General features: G+C 41.8%; 1 protein-coding gene across 6 annotated transcripts in view; it reads right to left on the reverse strand.

Annotated features, from left to right (window-relative positions):
* Nucleotides 1-705: 705 nt before the first annotated feature.
* CBLN2 (cerebellin 2 precursor) overlaps nt 706-18,981 on the reverse strand; it is a 101,841-nt gene continuing 83,565 nt past the window's right edge. The window contains exons 2-7 of one of the 6 annotated variants that reach the window (XM_006722394.4): nt 16,596-16,661; nt 8,002-8,633; nt 7,511-7,555; nt 5,829-6,351; nt 2,678-2,797; nt 706-2,398 (exon numbers count right to left, since the gene is read on the reverse strand). In XM_006722394.4, the coding sequence (XP_006722457.1) occupies nt 2,201-2,398; nt 2,678-2,797; nt 5,829-6,185 (675 nt within the window). In that variant the 5' untranslated portion in view covers nt 6,186-6,351; nt 7,511-7,555; nt 8,002-8,633; nt 16,596-16,661 and the 3' untranslated portion in view covers nt 706-2,200. Of the gene's footprint in view, nt 2,399-2,677; nt 2,798-5,828; nt 6,352-7,006; nt 7,580-8,001; nt 8,634-16,595; nt 16,662-18,981 lie in introns of those variants that run through there. The other 5 variants (XM_017025559.2, XM_011525824.3, NM_182511.4 and 2 more) reach the window with 5 other exon arrangements.

Consider the following 18,981-nt stretch of genomic DNA (forward strand, 5'->3'; position numbering starts at 1 on the left):
CCAAGAGCAATAAACCATATTCCAGCATTCTTCTTGTTATGTTACCAGCCTTGATAAATAATGTTCTTATTTAGAAGTATGTCTCCTAATCACAGAGCCAAGGTACCCCTAATGCTCTTTTATTGATGTTTTTCCCTCATAAAATGCACCAGCATTTTAATTCAAATAAAATTCTGCATCCCATTATGCTCTTCATCTGAGGACAGTAAAACTTAGACCCTTAGTCAAACTATACATTTTGTCATTTATGTAATCCCCACTGAATTTCTTCTTCAAAAATGGAATCTAATTCCTCTCCATCCTCACACACACATTTTTGGAAACAACTTATGCGCTTAAAATGTTAGTTTCTTTTATATCAGTGTTCACTGATGAAAATACTGGATTGGAACTTGCACCACATCAAAGATGACATGTGATAAAAGCAGACTGCCTAGCCCTAAAAGCTTCTTAAGCTGTCTTTTTCACATATCTCCCCCAAGATCTTCCTTTTCAAAAAATCTATATGTATAAACTGAAATATATCTAAGTGTACAATATCCATCCATACCCACAGCCAGGTCTGCACATACCAGTGTGTGTATGTTTGAGAGTACATTTTTTACAGAGGCACTGTATAGATTTATCTTCCCCAGGTCCTTGACAGTTGGCCTTTACATCCACACATTTTGGGAGTTGGGAGACAAAGTGGAGGATGACAGCAAGCCAGACATCAAACCCATTTATTCTGAATCTTAAATTATGACTTTTATCATCAATATTTTGGTTACATTGTTACACAAAGAACAAATTAACATCTGGTTTGAGGTCTCCTTTTTGATTGCTTTGGGATTAGTGACATTTCCTTGGCATATGCATTACACACCCATCAACTCTCAGCTGTGTCTTAATAATGTTGTACGAGATGCCAAAACAAGAAGGATTTGTAACAGTGCTCCTGGGGTACCTCCACCAATATCTTTAACCACAGTGACTTTCAGGTGGCTTCTCGCCAGGTGCATGCAGGAGAGTGTCAATGCATCCCTTTCCTGGGCAGATCAAAAGAGGATCCGGAGGAAGAGGAGCTGGTCTGTTGGCTTTGAAGCACCTGATCACTGTGCGCTCACTCAGAGGTGGATCCAAATAAATTAAATCACCCACAGAGAAGTCACAGCACACGTGGCAAAGACATAGTATGTTTAGGGGACTTGGTCATTACAGCTTCCATTACCAACTTATATGATTCAGGACCACTCAGGAACACCAGGTTCTTAAAGGATTCTGAAGTATAAATTAAAAAAAAATGCAGGTTGCTATTAATAGTTCTAAAGGTGCATCTTAGAATCTCTTTGAGAGAATAAGCAGAATTGTCCATTGTGTTACTTTTACTTTGATAAACAGATACTTTTTGTTTAGTTTGGTCTCGTCTAAAACAAAACATACAGGTATTTTAATGTTTTGTTTTGTTTGGTCTTATCCAGGAATTCTATATTTTCTCTCCTCAACCCCAGCAAGAAAAATAAAAGTGGGGTTGAGGAGGGAGAGCTGAGTGTGGAAAGAAAAGTAAAGCTTTTCAAGAAAAAACACAAACAATACAAAACAAAAATTGCAGTCCAATCGTGCAAAATTTGCTTCTCTGGATAAAGCACTTCTTGACAGGTTCCCAATGTCCCCATCCCCCTCCCAAGTCCTCCCAGCCACATGGTGGGGGGAAGAATACAGAATGAAAGTGAAGCCATTCTTTTTCTTAAGGCTATACAGACACACACAGAACACATGTCAAGGACTGTCCAGCAGGTGGTTCTTTGCTGGGCTCCTACTTCAAGCCCTGACTGCAACCTGCAGCCCATCCTGGAGTCAGGAGCTCTCCTTCCGTTGGGACGACAATACAACATACAAACAAAAGAGGTCCATGGTCCCAACAATAAAATCCGATATTGACTTTACAATCACAGGTACAAATTGCTCAAATCGATAATTTCATTTCTCCTTAAGACCTTGTCATCTAAAACTAATTAGAGGCCAGGTTCCCGAGGAATTGTCAGTATTCCAAAAAACAAAAACAAAAGTACTGGAGGTTTCAAAGGAAATCATTCTTCTACTGCAACAGTCTGACGGAGGTTGGAAACAAGGTGTCCAATTCCAGTAAGTTCAGGGTGTTTTAAAGGGCGGAGTCCTGGGTCCAGTTTGCCATTCCCCCACCATCTAGGGGGCTCTGTGTTTATAGAGGAAACACCAAGAAGCCCGAGAATGTGGAGTATTTCCAGCCCCCCATGAGGTTGCCTCTCTCAAGTTTGAGATGCACTTTGTCTTCCCTTTCCATGAGCAGCAGCACGCCATTGCTAGCAGCTTCTCTGGTGACATCCTGGTCTCCTGCAAAGGCCGAGATCACTGGGTAGCCATTCTGCATTAAACTGACCTAAAATGCAGAGAGTAGAGCTCAGCAGACCATAAAGCACCCAACTCCCACACACTGTTCTCTCCTTTGCCAATATCCCCACTCCCACCCCCATCCTTCCCTTAGAGTACACATCAGGGGAGCCTGACAGTGAGCACTCCCAGCTAGTTCAGAGCCACATCACCCCCTGGACAGACCAGTACCCTGTCTCCCTCAGCCTCAGAGACCAGGTGAAGGGGCCTTTAGCAATGGGGAACTATTAACTCAAACCTGAAAGGATCCAGTTTCAAATCTACCCACCTGGATGGTTTGTCTGTTATACACTTTGACCACGTGGAAGCTGAAGCTATAAATCCCTTTTCTCGGTGCTACAAATATACTGGAAGCAAGATCAAAGTGGTTGCCAATATTTACTAATACCTGAAAAAGAAGAGGGAACACAGCACACAATGGCAAGCCCCTCCTCGGTGTATGTTTTCATCATCCTTGGATAACCAGCAACACTGCCTCCTTCATCAGCGGCTGGGAACACAAATTCAGCATCCTCAGCATTCTGGCTTCCCCAGGAAGGAGGCAGTGCTGAAGTTAAAAGATCCTATAGCAGGAAGTAATCTCAAAGGTATTTTAATAAATTGTAACTAATCAAGATTTCTAAAGCATATTTTAATTATGCATTCAAAAACTGGCTGTGAATTTTGTAAGTTGAGGGGCAGGGCAGAGAGAAAGGAATCGAAGATGGTAAGCTTGTTAAACAAATCCTAAATTGAGTCCAGGGAGGTCTGTGGGAATATGGGGGCATCAGCATGATGCCTTGTTTGACAAAAAAACGAACAAACAAACAAACAAACAAACAAAAAAGTTCCATTCTGAATGGGTAGAGAAGCGGCTATGGGGCAAGAGGCCAATTAAAGGAGATCACTTCTGTAAGTTCAAGCTTGGGACCTAACTTCACGTGCTCCCAGAGACAATGGTCTCTGTGAGGTTTGGATCTCCAGTGTTTCTCAGTTCCTGGCACACTCTGGACTCACACAGTAGGTGGTTGATGATGGGTGGTGAATGAAAGACCTTTGTAGAAAAACATTTGCTACTCCTGTTTTTCCTTAATTTTCCCTGAGCAATGTGCTGCTCCCTTGCCTGAGCCATGGTGCCCTGTAAATGAGCTTGAATAAATAGAGAACCGGCAGCTTGGACATCCTTAGCTTAAGCTAATGGGAACTCTACAACATGCAAAACAATGACAAAATTAGCCACCTGGAATGTGCGCATGACCCTGCAGATGGCTTTCCTCAGATAAAAGGGCAGGGGTGAGTGTTTCATAAGCAGAATTTCAAGAGTGGCGGGACCCCCGTGATGACCCAATTTCTTTCAGATGCTCAACACAGACTCTGGCCACTTTGTCTGGATGCTGTCTCCATCCTCCTCATCCATAAATGCACAACTGCTTTATAATAAGATGGCCTGCCTTTTAAAACAAACAGCCAACAACAACATCAAAATCCTGGGTTTAAGATTTTGTTACCTAATGGGAATACAAACTTCAACTGGAATACCTTTGCTGTTATTTCTTACACACTCATTATAGATGAATAACATGCAGTTCCCAGCGCAATGTGAAATGCTGCCAATGACAATCGCCGAAATGACTTGTGAAATATGCCTGTTTCAGCTTCTTCAACCCAGCTGTGAGCACCACTTCAGCTCCACTCAAGGGCAGGACTGAGACAGACACTCTGGGTTCCATTGTTAAGACAAACACCTCGGGATGCCTATTCTCAGTCTCACAAGGCTATGCTCGCTGTCTTCCTTACAAAGCTTTTAGAAAAGAATAAAGCATTCTCCATTTAAGCCTCTGGAGCTGCTTCTTCCTTTCACCTCAACTCCTTCACCTCAATTTTACATTCTGGAAACTGATAAATTCAGGTAGAATTTAGCCCTGCTGTAGATGAAAGAACACCCAACCAGATCCTGAAAAGCAGACCTCAGCTCCTCATTAACTGGGGAGCCAGAGAAAGGTTGAACGCACCCTGCCATAGTTTGCTCATGTATAAAATTAGAATCCTGCTACTACTTATCCTGCCCTACATCACAGAGCTTTCTTGTTACACAAATGCAAAGGTGGATATAAAAATGCTATGAAAACTTTGCAAGACATTGGTAAGTGAATAATAATAATATAACAATAACTGCACGTAAAGGAAACCTTACTAATAGAGTATTAGTTCCCAAATGCCTATTCCATTGCTGTCTCATTTGGACATAATCAAAATAAATAATTTTACATTTTGTAAATAAAAATGAATTAAAGAGACACATGCCTTCCCCTGCCAAGAAAAAAAAACCTCAAATACTTAATGCCTAACAATAATTGAGAAATAAATACGCTGACTTAAATAGAGTCAAGAGTGTGTGTGTCTGTAGGTTTATGGTTATTAAGTTTAAGAGTTGCCTAACAGACCAAAGGAAAGTCAATTAAACACGTACAGTAAGCCCTGGTAGGTTGTCAGTGACTGCCAGGCGCCCCATTCCGTGGGAAACACTTTGGTAAAATGATTAGGTAATTAGCTAATTAGCTAAAGCTTGGAAACCTCTATAATGTTTTTAATTATTTTTCTGAAAAACAACAGAAACCAGGCGAGCAGGACACAAAAAGAAGGTCATAGCCTTTAACCCTGAGCACCAATAACCCAGAGAAAGGTTTAGAAAGGCCTGATCATATCTCTGAACCTTCTGCATTGAACCAAATGGCATAAGTTAAGTGGCTTAAGGTGACGTAAGTCACTGCTCTTTTAAAAAATTTGTACCAACACACTGTTCATGTATACATTATATATATTGCATTTGCTTATGGTATATATTTCATTTACTATATATTTTACTTACACAATCACAATATTTTGTTTTGTATTTATATATCCATCCCTGTTCTTCCTCACTTTTTTTTTTTTTAAGATAAACATCCCTTCCCCAATCCATTCCTCAAAATAAGCAATAGGAATGTATTTTCCAAATGCTGTCAGAGACTTGGGAAGACTCCTTTCGTGAGCGTGGAGAGTTTTAAATGCACTCAATCCTTCAGGTGGCCACCTGGGTGACTGAAGACCATCAACCACACCGCCGTGAAAAGTAAAACGTGCAATGCTTCCTTTTGGGAAACATATTTCAAATCTTTAGGTTTACGGAACTCTTAGAAAGCTTAGACAGCCTTAAGGGACTCTCAGTCATCCAAGTGCCAAGTTAGCTGATCATTTAAAAGTTTTTAAAAAGCCAAAATGTGGAAAAGGGAAAGAGTAGGAGTGCGTTCTATGAAACGGGAGGAAAGAGACTAGCAGGGCAGAGGGGGAGGACAGAGCCTGGGAACTCCACGTCCAAGAAGCCTGAACCCCAGCCCGCGCGCGCAGGTCCCCGCCCCTCTCCCCGGGCTGGGGGCGGGGTGGGCAGGCCGACGGCTGACCTGGTCGAAATAGATGGTCATGGTGCGGTTGCTCATCTCGGACGGCTCGTGGTTGGTGCTCCGCGTGGCGGAGAAGGCCACCTTGGCGCTGCCGGAGCGCACGGAGATGCCTAGGGAGGAGGTGACGGCGCCGTCCGCCGACGGGCTGGAGTCGCACACCACCAGGCACTTGCCCTCCAGCACGATGGGCTCCGTGTCGTTCTGCGCCCGCACGGGGCAGCAGGCGGGCAGTAGCAGCAACAGCAGGGCCAGCGCCACCCCCAGGCAGGATCCGCAGCCGCCCGGCTCGCGCAGCGCCCCCCGGCGCCCGGGCATCATCAGCCGCAGCCCGAGTGGCCCCCGGCCGGGCGCCTGCATCGGGACTGGTGGGAGGCGGCGCGCGGGGGTGGAGGCCGGCGCCGGCGCGAGCGGCGCGGAAGGGCGCGAAGGAACGCGCGGAGCTCGCAGCAGCCTCCGGGGGCCTTCGTCCCCGGCTCTGACGTTCAAGGCCAGGGTCGTTCTCAGAAGAAAGGCGCCTGTGAACCTGTCAGGGCACAGAACCCAAAGCCTTACACCGGGAGGTGGAGCCACCGGGAAGAAGGGGGACTGGGAGCAGGTGCCTGCGGCTCGGGGGTTCTCCCCGAAGGCCACCCCCTTGGTCCCGCGCACAGCCAACCCGCTTTCCGATCTGGCACAACAGGTCCGGAGAAACGCCCGGGCGCAGCTGGCAGCGCATCCCTGAAGGCTCCCGAGCAGCGCGCGGGGCTGCGACGAGGGAGGGGGCCGCGCTTCTGCAGGTCCTCGTCGCTAAGACGGGCCCCGAGACCCTCAGAAGGCGTCACCGCCACCCCGCCCATTCACCAGCGCGGAGGGGGCTAAGACGCAGGCAAAGAAAAACCTACGAATGCTTGCCTTCTCGCCTTCATCTCACAGCATTTCCTTGGAGCAGCACCAAGGAACCCTTTTCCTATCCCTTGTTTCCCTGCTATCCTCTATTTTTCAATCCTCGAGATGTTTTTAAAGTCCATTTAAGTCCCTTTGGTACAGATTTTATCTGTTTTCCACCCACAGAACAAATCCCAGGAATCTCCTTGGGGCGAATAAGATTACTAGGGGGGAAATGACACCACACACACACACACACACACACACACACACACACACACACACACACACGGGCAGTAAAGCCAAACACCTACTTCCAAGGTCCCTGCAGCCACTAGCGAGCCCCCTTGGGTGAAACCCCTGGGATTCCTCTCTTAGGCGAAGGACCGATTCCAACGACGGAATCCCAGGCTTGGGTTATTCTCCAGCTCTGGTTTCCAGACCACGGGGATTCTCTCTTTCTCAGCGGGGCGGCAGCCCCTGCAGGTTTCTGCGAACTTACGCGCCCGTCTGCACTTTTGCCCCGTCCCCGCTCCTCCCAGGAAAGCAGACAGGCCATTTCAATACCAGCCCAGAGACACGCAGAGAAGCCGCCCCCTCGCCGCCCACAGCCTCCCATTAACTCTTCCAGTATTCTTTCTAAGAACAGAGAAGTTGGCTCTTGATAAATATCCGCTGTCCGCAGCCCCGATCCTACATGATTTCCCTTCTCTCTCTCCACCTCCTCCACCCCTCGATCTGGACCAGGGAGAGTCTTCGTTAAAATCCACGCAGAAGGCGCTTGCATGCGGAGGGGAGGGCAGGTCGGGGGTGGTTACCTGGAACATCCATGCTGGGCGAGCTCCGCTGTCCGCGAAGTTGCTCTGCTTAGAGAAAATGAGGCGAGTGGGAGCTGTCGGGAGGAGGACACGGAGCGCGACCCTGCTCCCAGCGCGTGGCCAATAACCGCGCCGCCCCGCCCTGCCGCTTTCCCGCGCCAGCCTGCGCCGCTTCAGGGGTGCACCACGCCCCGCGCGCCCGCTTAGGCGCCGCGCCCGGGACCGGGAACCCCGCGTCTCGCCCGGCTCAGCGCCCCGCGCTGTGCGCCCAGGTGCCTCCAACCCCTGGGCTTCGCGCCCGCACCGCTGCCTGGGGCCCCTCGAGCTCCCGCGCTCAGCGCGTCCGCAGCGCGGCTCCCTCGCGGGTCCCCTCGGCCCCGCAGCCCCGCCAGTCTCCAGAGGGCATAGCCGAGCGCTGCCGCCTCCCTAGGACTCGGAACCTTCCCTGCTCCCAAGCCCGCCGCACCCTCCAACGCCCCGGTCCTGCTCACCCAAACGCCCAGAGCAAAATACTCCCAGACGTCTCTTTTGAAAATTAGACACCCTTAAAAGCACCGGTCGCTTCTCTTCTTTTAGATTCTTTCTTTTCTTTCCCCAATTCCCTCCAAGTCTTAATATTGAATGGCGTGACCACTTTCATAATGACAGGAGCGAAAAAAACAATAAGTTAAAAAAAAAAAAAAGAAGAAGAAGACTGGGATGGCTGGGACGAAGAGAGGGAAAAAAAAAGCTTGAGAATTTGATGATTTAGGAGCTGTGGTTCCAGAGTCCCAGTTGGGGAACTGTCCGGTTCCCGCAGGGCTAGAAGAGGGGCCTCCGGCCCGGGTCTGTGTGTCTGCTCCTCTGGACCTCGGACTGGTGGAGCGGCTGGCGCTTGCGCTTATTTATTAAATTGCGGTGTCCGCGCTCGCTCAAAGGACCCGGGGAGACGCGCTGGGTTTCCCAGCTGCGCCTGGAGCTCGGCTGAGGGCGCAAACACGGACGTGGGGCGCCACCTGCGGGTGCCCGGGCCTCCCTGCCGCAGGCTGCGGACCGGCGGACTCCGACAGAAGACGGGGGAGTCCTGGCCGCAAGGCTGAGGTTTGCTGATGGTCTTCTTTCACCCCAAAAGCAGCGCTGACCTCTGCAATAATAATAATATAATAATAATAATAATGATAGCAACCACAAGAAGAACAATAATGACCAGTCTTCCCGGTATCCTTCAGTACTTTTACTCCTGGCAAAACCAAGCAGCACGCCGCCTGATTTTCCGGATCTTCACTGATCTAACAAACAACTCTGCCAAGATGATAAATGCTGCGGTGAGGTTATCATCGGTTATTATCGTCGGCACAACGTTTGCACAGACAACTGGGCCGTATAGTTTATGCTGGTCTAAAAAACAATCAATATTTAAATCTACACTCTATAGCCTGATTTTTTTTTAAAACATGGTTAAAAAATACTTTGTCCTTTGACATGCATTATACGTCTTTTCTGATAGGCTAATAATAATAATAATAATAATAATAATAAAGTTAGCCAGTGCTGTTCATTAGAGCATCTGTATTTCTTATTCCTCCAGACTTCACACCGAACCCTCTCCCCTTTGAAGATTTCAGCAGTGTCTGATTCCACCTTAACAAACGGAGGTCTTTTCAGGTAGGGGGTTTTGAAGGCCTTATTTTCCCATAGGCCCTCTCACCGCTATTCTCCCCATTTAGAACAGAACTGCCAAGGCATCATCTCTAAGCACTGGAGATGAAATTCACGATCAGTTCAACTGGAATGGATATGCAGAAAGTCATTGCACACTGCTGCGTGAGACAAAATATTTAGTATGGGTGTAAGGATGTGATTAAAAGTACCTCTGAGCCAAATGCTTCCTGGTTAACCTAGCATGCAAAATAGTAGAAAATATACAATACTTCCAAAATCTCTCATCCTCCTAAGCTATACTCACTGTAAAGTAAATGTCATACTTCAACACTTTTGTACCATGCTGGAGATAGGTACTGGCATTTGCCAGGATGCTTTTTCAAATCCACCACAGTTTGCCATGTTTTGTTACCATTTTTGTGAGTTTAACAGAGTGGAAATGCACTCTTACTTTCAAATAGTTATTTTATTCCACTATTTCATCCATGTGATAGTGTCTTACTGTCAAAATAAGCCCCCATCCATCATTCCACCATAGAGAGAACTGATTTAAGTGTAAGCATAGATAGCAAAGAACACTAGATATTTGAAAGACATGTGAGACACAGACATAATTAGACCAATCTGGGGATGCTAATTTATAGCAATACCTCTCACACATCTGTAAGTCCTTAAATAGCAACTCTACTCAGCATCTTTCCTCAATACTGTAAGCATTCCTTTTGACTAATATAAATGCAAGCACACATGAACTATCGTCATCAACACTGGGGGAAAAAAGAAAACCACTTTCTATGTGGCAACATAAATGTTTAGATTATATATATGTAGAGACACCTTTAATCTATGTGACTTATTGGACTAAGTTATTGAAAAAAGCTATAAGCATTCTTATATAATAAACAGGTTAGGTTTAATTTAGACTAGAGATTATTTTAGAAGAAACCATAAAAGATAGCAAATTGACAGAGAAGCAGATTATTTATTCATTGATTAATTAGTTGTTTCACATAAGAAGATATTAAAGTCGGCCGGGCGCGGTGGTTCACGCCTGTAATCCCAGCACTTTGGGAGGCCGAGGCGGGCGGATCACGAGGTCAGGAGATTGAGACCATCCTGGCTAACACGGTGAAACCTTGTCTCTACTAAAAATACAAAAAATTAGCCGGGCGTGGTGGCGGACGCCTGTAGTCCCAGCTACTCGGGAGGCTGAGGCAGGAGAATGGTGTGAACCTGGGAGGCGGAGCTTGCAGTGAGCCAAGATCGGGCCACTGCAGTCCTCCGGCCTGGGTGACAGAGCGAGACGCTCTCTCTCAAAAAAAAAAAAAAGATATTTAAGTCAAGTGTTGGAATTTTAGCTTGTAAATATGCTTAGAAATTTTTTAAGAAAATGTCTAAGATTTAAAAGCAAAAGTTTTTCTAGTTATCTCAGGGATTCCTTTTTCTCTCCCTTTTCCATGTTAATAATTGTTGCTATTACTACTAGAACATTAATAGTGGACATTCCCACAGACAATAACAATGACAGCCATTTATGGAACACCTGTGGTGTGTGAGATATTGCACCATGTCTTTTGTCTGGGATATAACACGATTTAACACCCACAGCAACCCTGTGGTAAAGACAGGTGTTCACACAGAGCTGAAGAGGAACATATTCTAATATTAGGGAAAAATGTGGGAAGGGAAGACGCTGGGATAATTCAAGTACCCTTCCTCTCATTTTTTCTAAATATCTGTCTCTCATGGAACTTAAATTTGAGTTCTTTGGGTATAACCTATCTCTGAAATGCATCTTCAGCGTGCATTATAGATTTGCTGTTGGATCCATCAATTCCACTACTGAGTATCTACTCAAAGGAAAAAAATCATTGTATGGAAAAGGATACCTACACTGCTAGGTTTACTGCAATACTATTCACAGTAGCAAAAATATGGAATAAATCTAAGTGTCCATTAACAGATGATTTGATAAAGAAAGTGTCACACACACACACACACACACACACACACACACACACAATTGGAATACTACTCAGCCATAAAAGGAATGAAAAGAATGAAATCATGTCTTTTGCAGCGACATAGATGGAACTGGAGGCCTCTATCTTAAGCGAAATAACTCAAAGTCAAATACTGCATGTTTCCAGTTATGAGTGGGAGGTAAAAAATGCGCACACACGAACAAAGAGAGCAGAATAACAGATGTTAGAAGCTCAGAAGGGCAGGAGGGTAGGAGGATGGTTGAGGATAAGAAATCACTTAGTGGGTACAATGTACACTATTTGGGTACCTGTGTAAGAAAACGGCACATGTACCCCCTAAATCTATTTTTAAAATTAAAAATTTAAAAAATTCTATTATCCAGGAGGTAGTAGAAAATCAGTAATATGTAGCTAAAGCAATTTCTAATTTTTATTTATTTTTTTCTTTTAATGTAATTGTATAGCTTTAGTTTTAGAATGAGCTACAGGTATGATTTTAAGGCTTTTTATATTTGGATTATTTTGAGTAAACATAATATACATAAATAATATATTTTTATCTAGAAGGGAATTTCAGAAAAAAGAAAATGCATGATTTAAGGAAAAAACTTGTGCTTTTGTATCTGAAAAAATTTATATGAGGTGATATATCAATGTGTATTTCCTTCTCAAGTGTTCTCCCGTAGAAATAAAATATAAAGGTATGCTGTATTTTTGATCGTTTAGTAAAGTTTTAAGTCCAACAGTTGGAAGCTAACTTTAAGCACATACATAACCATTTCAGCTTTCCAAAATATGTTTTCTTTTCAAATTGTCCTTTAACATCCGGCGATTGTTCTGCTCGCTCTTACCAGAAGACATACCTACATCCTCAAGAAGCAACAGATCATAGGGTACGATGAATTAAAGGAGTGAAAAGCTGAAGGTTTAGGAAAGAACCATCTGAGAGGCTCTGTTTTTGAAGAAGCTTAGAGATCTGAGTGTGGTATCGGTGTCTGGAGTTGTTGATTTGGAGGCAGCAGAGTTGAGAGGACTCCTTGTCACCATCTCCTCAGTGCGTGCCACTAAGCTGCCTTCCATTGCCTTAGGGATCTGCCATCAGAATGTATTCTGACTGTGCTGCAGCCACAAACCAGATTACAGATGTGACTGTTAATCCAAGTCAGAAGAAATGTAACTCAAATATTGCCTAGATCTAGATCGAATAGGACCTTTTTGTTGTTTCCAAAACTATTTGCTAGCACTAACTAGTTATTTTATACTTGATATTAATTCTTGATCTTGAGACTACTCTTTGAAAATAGAACATCCAAAGGGAATATTAAGGAAAGATTCATAGGACTATTTTGTTTTTAAACTGAGCTACTATAAGGCTAGTGTTTCATAGAGTTGCTCATTGCCCAAACTAAAAATACCTGGTTATCGCTCAGGATCCGTTCTTCTGATGTAATCCACTATAAAAGCCATTTTATACTGATCATAAGTTTTTAAGAGAAGTATGGTTATCCCCTGCACAGAGATCAGAGTCCAGGACCAAATATATTTAAGAAATATTATTGATCTGAAAATGAAGCCCGTGCAGCCTGGTCATTTGAGCAAAGCCACAAGTCAGCAATGGCTGAATTTTATTTCTGACCTTGTGCACGCAGCATCTGTTTTCCATGGGCATCCTCTGCATACTCTGTCCTAGCTTCCTGCACCATAAATGCACCCAGGCTGCGAAGATATGTATTAACACCAGATTCACATACGAGAAAAAGGTAGTGAAATTGAGGAAGGGGATCCAAACTGTAATGAGCACATGAATTATTGGGAAATCCTATTACAAATGCTGGGTGGAGCCTGAAATTTTACATGTCTGCATTTCTGTCTTTCTTTCCTTCTTTCTTATTTATTTATTTATTTATTTTTTATTTTTTTAATGGAGTCTTGCTCTGTCACCCAGACCGGAGGGCAATGACACAATCTCAGCTCACTGCAGCCTCTGCCTTCTGGATTCAACAGATTCTCCTGTCTCAGCCTTCCTAGTAGCTGGGATTACAGGTGTGCACCACCATGCTTGGCTAATTTTTGTATTTTTAGTAGGGAAGGGGTTTCACCATGTTGGCCAGGCTGGTCTGGAGGTCCTGACCTCAAGTGATCTGCCCGCTTTGGCCTCCCAAAGTGCTGGGATTACAGGCGTGAGCCAACGTGGCCAGCAACATTTCTAACAAGCTTGCAGCTGATGCTGATGCTGCTGGTCTATAGGCCACACATTGAGTAGCAAAGATCTATTTTTTTCTATTCTTGTGGGAATATTAATACCTGAAAAATATTCTGAAGGTTTACTGCAGACACATAGGAGGAAAAGTGTGATTAAATATATGATGTTAAACTCACATCAGAAAATGGTCTAGTGATCATATAATAAACATGGAAGCCAGTATCCAACAGTATGATTATACAGCTGTTCTTTTTCATTAGCATCTGGTGTTTTGTGGCTACTTTCTCAAGTTGAATGTGCTATATTCTATACAATTATTCCAAAAAGAAAAGAAATCATGATTGTGTTAAAATGTTATACTTTTTTTCACCTGTCTAAAACCCAATTTGGGCAAGACAAATGAAGCATTACTGAGAAAACAGGAGAAATGGCTTTCTAAAGGCATTTTTAATTGGTAGCTAGGGGATTTTATCATCCTGTATAAGATTATTCTATCAGGGGTTACTCTGTAATTGTCATGGATGGAGTTTCAGTTCATCTGCACATTACTGGGCAAATGCTTACCTAGGGTTGAAGATTTTACGTGTTTTTGTGAAAAAAATGAAACCCTCTGGCTCCTGGGTCAAAGGTATTGCGGTTCCTAACAGCAATAGCAGAGGGAATGGTGAGATTTATATTTGGATCTGCTAAAAACTGGTAGACGTAGAAAGCCTATACACATATACAAAAGCAAATATTCTCCTGGTTGTAATATCAACATATTCTTCTTTATATGAAACTTGGGCTTTTCTTACTCACTGCCAGAAATGTTAGGAAGTTATAATTTGACTTTAAAATAAGGAAAATGAGAAACAAAGTTCATCCCTTGGCAGGTTTTCTGAATGCATGTTTGATAAGTCATGGAACTGCTATCTCATTGTAATCTACAAGAAAGTATATGGATTTCCCCTCAGGATCTCATCCTCTCCAATAAGCCTAAACATTTGTGAAATTTCTGATATATCTGAAGAATAGATTACATTGCACCATCATTTCTCTTGAGCAAACTTGAACCATACAGGGAGGTAAGGAAAAACCTCAATGAATCAAAATGCAGGAAGGCTCAGAAACAGCTGATAGCAATCAGTGCTGATAAGTCAGAGGGTGGTGAGAGAGCTCAGTTTAAGGGCTGGTACTATTGTACAGAGTTTATGGAGAAGATGGGCTACGGAGGCGGCGGAAAGAAAAGCACTTTCATTAGTGAAATGATATTCACACTAAATTTCCTAGACGTTGAAGCCTAAGCAACTAGAACTATTTTACCTACCTTTCAAAAATACTAAAATAAAAAGTTTGTATCATGGAAAATAACATAACACACATTGCCTTATTTGAAAGAGAAATTTTCTTTTTCTTTTTTTTTTTAATTTTGTAAATCCTCTATGTGCCTTTAGGGAGATTTCAGTGAATATTAAGTATTAAATTAAGTTTTGCTTTAATTCAAAATGTTATTTGAGATGTTCTGCACAGAATAGCTTTTAAATGATAGACTAATACTAACCTATTCCATGATTTATTTTTGTGCATTAAATATTCCCCTAAAATGATATACGGCTATATTCTTAATAGGTACCTCACGTTGTTTGCAGCTCTGCTATGGTGCCTATATTGTGTCCTGTATGCCGATGGGTAATGCAGGGCACAGTGTAAGAGTAACACATATACATGTCTTTCACACCCATAAACTGTAATTTCATTGCAAACAAGTACCGTGACATTTTGTTTTGCTGTTTTTCAACACATCTAGTATAGCATCTTTACTTTTTGAGAGTCCTCTATTTAAACATTGATAAATTTATTCCGATGCTTATTAAATACAAATTTTAGGTGTTTCTACCATGTATCTTCATACTCACTTTCAGACATGTCTAATGGGTAAAATGTTTATATATATACACATCTATACATATATATGAAATGAAGAGAAAATTGTTGTTTAGTTACCCTACCAGATTGAAGATACCTTTATTTTATTGGTGTATGTTTTGGTTTATAGAGGTTTCACATTCTCTAGACTGGTCTGGGAGATTCTGGGGTATAGCCAGAAGACTGGACACATTTTAATCCTGTGCTTCCTTTTGTTGTCTTTTATATTTCTGAGAGATCTAAATCTTGCTTGAAATAGAATTGACTAAAAACCGACAGAATTAGGTGGACTAAAAGTGTCACTAAGTCTTCAGAAATGGAAGATCTACCATCCTTGCGCTCCTTGAACACACCCCATCACTGAAGTCTATATGTCTGCATGGAGCTGGACTAATGTGTGGGTCTCTGTGTGTATACACAGGTGAGGGATCTGTTTCAGAGAAATAAGTCAAAAAGTACCCAGCATTAATACTGTAACCATGCTGAGATTATTCAGATGCATACATTACATGAAATTATATGAACACCATTATACATATAAACACATATTTATCATTTAGGTTAATATTAATTAGCACGGCTTAATATTTCATTAAAGAAATAAATTGTCCTTACCTTCTTGACTCACCTTAGGGAATGTGAATGCTCATCTGAAGCTTTAAACTTAGAAGGCCAACTTTTTCTTTTGTGATTTTGAGATTGTACATTTGTGTTGACCTTTCATATCAAAAAGTTAACTACTGGTTGTTTCTTTGTGTATGTGATTGTGTTACCCAGTTCCTATGTTCTCTTAGCCTTTTCTTTCCCATTTATCTAACCTGTTTTGTCAGCGTTTTCTGAATTTCACTGTTTATTAAAATGTCCAACAGAGCAAGATACTTTTTTTTTTTTTTTGAGACAGACTTTCGCTCTTTTTGCCCAGGCTGGTACGATCTCGGCTGACTGCAACCTCTGCCTCCTGGGTTCAAGCAATTCTACCTCAGCCTCCTGAGTAGCTGGGGTTACAGGCATGCACCACCAAGCCCAGCTAATTTTGCATCTTTTAGTAGAGACAGGGTTTAGTCATGTTGATCAGGCTGATCTCGAACTCCTGACCTCAGGTGATCCACCTGCCTTGACCTCCCAAAATGCCAGGATTACAGGCATAAGCCACTGAGCCCGGCCAAAATACTTTTTTTTTAATAGAAGAAATAGATTTAAATCAGCTTATCATACAAATATCTAATATTTATATTTTTTCAAAATACATAAAAATCAACAAACTCCTTCCTTAAACATGTCATTCAAAACAACCCTTCTGTAATACAAAAGCTAACAATCTTGGTAACAGAAAAATAAAAGTGGAACTCACAAAACATGAAGTGAAAGCCAGTGACATCCACGTTCTCCTTTTTCACAAAAGATGTTGAGATGCTCACTAAAATTATGAAAAAGAAGTACATCATTTCCAGGTACATAGCGAATTGATAATATAATTTTAAATAATATATTTCCTTTTAAATTACTGGAGAAAAAAGAAATAAAGAAGGCTAGCGATAGTGAGCTAAATCCCCATCTTTTAAGCAGAAAATAGACATTGAATAAAGTTGACATATTTGTAAGTAGGCATATAATCATTTGATTTTGACTTTGGGAAATAGTAGGAGAAAGGGAAACATTGCGAAAATTGTTTCAGAAGAGGTTACTAGTGGAATTAGGAAAGTGTTAGGCAAGAGATTGTTATTACTATTATTCAATCCTATGTGTCTCTGTATTTTTAAATTTTCCACCACATGGATGCCTTACTTTGGAAATATTTGTTTAAATGACATAAAATTATTTTCTCATATATGTGCATATGTGAACTTTGTGCAAAATGCTGCTGAGAGGAAAACATTGGATTTTACAGAATGGATTACACAGGAGCAGAAGAGGAGGACTCACAACAGGAGACCAGAGGGGAGAAACTGTCTTGTCTCTCCCTGGGCTTCACTACTCTGATTTACGTGTTCACAAACAAAACACTGAGCTGGATCTCAGGGCTCAGCAACTCCAAAGAGGACTTTGGGAAATACAACGACAAGTGCACGTGTGGAGTGGGAATCTGCCCCGGTCCTTCAGGGGCTTTGTCCAACATGTCAATGAGGGAAGGAGCGATAAACTTCTTTTTGTGGGCATAAACAGAAAATAAGAAATATAGCTCAGGAAAAATAGTAAATATCCCAACAGACAAAGGTTACTACATAGACTAACAATTTGTGATAGATAGATAGATAGATAGATAGATAGATAGATAGATAGATATGAAAACAGATTATACGTGTACATATATATTACAAATGTGTGCATATTTTTGGTTAGGTTACTCAACAAAACCTTACTTTAAATAAATAAGTAGAAAATATAATTTTAGTGATTGGAAAGCTCAGACAAATCCTTATGTTTAGATAATTTCAGCAAAAGAGCTAACTCATCATTTGGTTGATACGCAATCTAACCGTAGGAAATTTCCTAATCCTGGTCATAGAATGGGGGAAACCGTGGAGCAATGAAAAGAGGACAGGGTTAAAGTCCATAATTCATGCCTCGAAAGCTGAAAACATTATAGAGTGACAAAAATCATCAGACTATTAACTCTGATTGATGTTATAAACTCTGATCAAAGATCTGAACTTGGAGAAATTCGAAACATTTGGCTAAAACGAGACTTGAAGACAACTGTCAGATTCGTTTTTCAGCTTATGCCTAGCCTTCATTGCCATGCCTGGGTGCAATCTGATTATATTACATGAAGTGCATATTTCCATAATGAAGAACTAGTGTAGCATCCTTTGGTTCTCAATCCTGCAGGGAAAGAATTAATAACGAATCACATAATCTCTTCTATAATTTATTTTTCATAATCCTTAGAGTGTAATATGATGAAGAATGTTTAACGAATTAAAAATTATAAGATTATTCTTATTTGCTGTTTTCATTACCCTTTTTTTTTGTTTTGGTTTGACTCTGATTAAAGCAGTCAAATTGAAATGTATTATAAAAGTTGTAATCTATTATGCCTGATTTACCTAGAGGATGTTTGCAAGAAAGTGACAAGAATAATTTTTAAGAGAAAAATAAACATTTTCTTTAACCGGCCTTTTAAATTTCTGCAAAACAAAAAAAGCATATGAAAAAGGGGTTTTTTGATGATTATTTTTGAAGTTATTCTAACTAGAGAAATTGTTCCCTTTCCTTTCAAATTTCAAGTACTGGAATTAAGTTCTGGAGTTTAGAATTACTATTTTAAAATGGTATACATTACGTTAATTAGCCTAACGTAATCATTCCACAGTATATACACGTATCATAACACCATATTATATCCTATATTTGTCAATTAAACATCTTTAAAGTGGTTCATATTAAATAATTGTTCTAAATAACACAAAGTAAAAAAAAAAAATTGAATGCCTGCAAAGAAAAAAAAAACTAAAAACTCAGTGACAAAAAGTTACATACGATCTCTAAATACGCTTAGCCAAAATTTCAGGCAAAGTCCTCAATAAAAACGTTAAAGAAAAAAAATTGAAATGTATAAAAGTTCATCTCTTACCATTGCAACCCCTGTTCATTTCCCCCTTGCTGATATTGATTAAAAAGAAAAAAAATTAGTGGCCTGGTGCGGTGGCTTATGCCTGTAATCCCAACACTCTGGGAGGCCTAGATGGGCGGAACACTTGAGATCAGGAGTTCCAGACCAGCCTAGCCAACATGGT

The sequence above is a fragment of the Homo sapiens genome, chromosome 18 (assembly GCF_000001405.40).
Source record: "Homo sapiens chromosome 18, GRCh38.p14 Primary Assembly".
Taxonomy (NCBI): Eukaryota; Metazoa; Chordata; class Mammalia; order Primates; family Hominidae; genus Homo; species Homo sapiens.